Source organism: Homo sapiens, chromosome 1 (genome assembly GCF_000001405.40).
Source record: "Homo sapiens chromosome 1, GRCh38.p14 Primary Assembly".
NCBI classification, from domain to species: domain Eukaryota; kingdom Metazoa; phylum Chordata; class Mammalia; order Primates; family Hominidae; genus Homo; species Homo sapiens.
Window position 1 is genome coordinate 227,847,442 of NC_000001.11, and position 3,151 is coordinate 227,850,592.

The following is a 3,151-nucleotide window of genomic DNA, read 5'->3' on the forward strand; positions in this document are numbered from 1 at the left end:
AGACCAAATTTTTATAGAAGAAATTGAGACATTTAAGAAAGAATATCCCCCCCACCCCGGTAAGTTTTTGGGGAGTCAAAAGCTATATATGGATTTTTTACTGCATGGGGGGATACCAGTAACCCCAACATTGTTCAAGTGTCAACTGGACTTTCTTTTACAATTTTAAATAGTTGCCCTAGAGTTCACAATAAAGAATTACAATTAATCTATGTCCACTTTCAAAAAAACACTACCATTTCCCAGGTAGTATCTCATCTACTGATGAGACATCAATAGCATGCTTCATTTCTGTTACAGTGGTTTTGAGTTCTAGCATTTTTTTTTGTTTGGTTGGTTTTTGTCTTCACATTTTATTTTTATTTTCGTAGATTTAGGGGTGCAACTGCAGTTTTGTTACATGGATATATTGCATAGTGCTGAAGTCTAGGATTTTAGTGTAACCGTCACCCAAATAGTGAACATTTTGCCCATTAAGTAATTTCTCCTTCCTCATCCCCGTCCCACCCTCCCACCTCTCTGAGTCTCCAATATCTATTATCTGCTTTCTATATCCATGTGTACACATTATTTAGCTCCCACTTATAAGTGAGAACATATGCTAATTGACTATTTCTGAGTTGTTTCATGTAGGATAATGGCCTCCAGTTCCATCCATGTAGCTGCAAAGGACATGATTTCATTCTTTTTTATGACTAGTATTCCATGATATATATGTATATTTTCTCTATCCAACCATCTGTTGATGGACGCTCAGGTTGATTTCCTGTCTTTAGCATTTCTTTTTATTCTCTGAGTTTCACTGCTCTGCTTTCAGTGCCCCTCTGTTCTTCTATGTGGCCCACTTTTCCCATTTCAGCCCTTAGTATATTAATCCTAATACTTCAAATTCCCAGTCCAATAATTCCAAAATGTCTGCCCTATCTGAGTTTTGTTCTGATGCTTGGTCTCTTCAGGCTGTGTGGGGTTTTTGTTTTGCTTATTTTGCCTTTTAGCATGCCTTGTAACTTTTTGTTGAAAGCTAGATATGACGTATTAAGTAAGAGGATCTGAGGTAAACTGGCCATTGGTGTGAGATTTATCTGACTAGCAATTAGGCTGTTTACCGCCTCCTGAAGCTGTGGTGTTTGAGTCTGAACTTTCCCCTAATGATGTTGTTTTTGTCTCCTCTGTTGTCTTTGGGTCTCCCTGGAGACTCCTTCTTAAATAAACAAGTAGCTCTTTCTGTAATCCTCTGATATTACATAGGAACCCCACGGATGTAGTGATAAGGTGTGGGGATGAGGAAGCATTCTTTAGTTCTGTGGTTAGGTCTCAGTCTGTTAGTGAGAAGGTCACCACCCAAGTGTTTTTCTTGCCTTCACTTTCCCCCCTTAAGTGTGATGGAAAAATAATGGGCTGCATTGGGTATTTCCCAACATTCAAGGCTAGGGCAGGCTGGATTCCAGTATTTCCCTTGCCATGGGTCAGACTGATAGAACCCAAGTCAGTTAGGCTCTGGTTAAATAGTTTCCCTTGAGAGCAGGCTTTGGTCAATGAGAATAGACAGTGCTGGGCATACTTAAAATTGGCTACTTTTCTCCTTGCTCTGCCACAAACGCTGGGGGATTCTTCTCTGCTCTTCACCCTGAGAGCCTGGTGTAGCTTCCAGGACTAAAACTCATAAAAGTGTGAGGACCCCTAAAAGTGGGCCCTAAGGGGTTTTAAGCTCTCAACTTAGCCCACGCTTAGTCTCCAGCAGTTCATCAATTACCCTTTAAGTATTTCCACTGGTGCTGACTCTGCTGGGGCTTCTCCTCCCCGTAAGCTGTGATTGTCTCTGTCCACCTGTCTGTCTCTCCAGTGTTCAGGGAGGTATTTTGTTCTGTGACCTCACTTCTCTTATGAATTTAAGAACAGTTGTTGATGTTTAGTTTGTTCACCTTTTTTCTTGTTGTAAGGATGGGAGTGATAACTTCCAACCTGTTTACATGCCAAAACGGAAGCTAGATGTCACTCAGATACTTCTATAAAGAGACATCTCGTCTTCTACTATTTGGTTGCCTAGTGACAAATTTATATAGAAAAGACAATGTCTTATTCTTTTCTTTAGAAGCTCTTGAGATCATGTGATTGTTCTTTTTCACCATCTAAAGCGGGCCAATTAGCTTTTAAATGTTTTTTTTAGGTCATGGATTTAAATGTATTTGATGGGTTTCAATTCATTGCAATTATTATTTCTATGAAAGCTCAAATTGCCCCATATTTGTACAACAGGAGCTTTGCCAGCTTGGTTCCTGAGTCCTTTTAACAGTGCTGGGCATAATAGTACTAATGGTATCTGCTAGCTTTCTTTTATATGGTTTGACAAGATGTTCAGGCTCATCTGGTCTATTTCCTGCCTAAGACCTAGAGTCAGTCATTCCCCCAAGAAGTCTTGTTTTTTTGTAGTCAAACATAGTATTACAAGAGCACGATCTGAGTGCTCGGGAGATCATTGCACTGAAGTTGGGATGTAAATTCCAATTTAAGTCCAGAGCTACAGAGTTTTTACTTATATTCTTTTAAAAAAAAAGCAATCTGTAGTTTGTATTCCATATTGAAAATACTTTCATCAGTTCTAACAGTTTTAGCGTTTTGTGGGGGTTTTTTGGGTGGAGCCTTTAGGGTTTTCTATATATGAGAAATAAAATGTCATCTGAAAACAGAGACCATTTCATTTCTTCCATTCCTATTTGGATGTATTTTATTTCTTTTTCTTGCCTGGTTTCTGTGGCAAAGACTTCCAGTACCATATTAAATGGAAGTGGTGAGAGTGGGCATCCTTGCCATGTTCTTGATCTTAGAGGGAAATTTCAATTTTCATCATTGAGCATAATGTGTTTCTCAAGGAGGTGATAGCCCATAATTATTCATTTGTTTTGCCACACATTCACAAACAACAATCTCATAATCACATAATTAATGTGAACACTACCAATATGATGACTGCAAACAGCTCAGATGTTTTGGTATGGCCTTTGTTTCCTCGCAGTCTTTAATATTTGTAACTATACTTACATCGCTGGAGCACATGCCAATTATGTTCTCTTCCCTTTAACTCTCATTTAGTGTTAGTGCAACAAGTGACTGTCTATTTAATTCTGGTCCTTGAATAAATGTCTCTTATGGA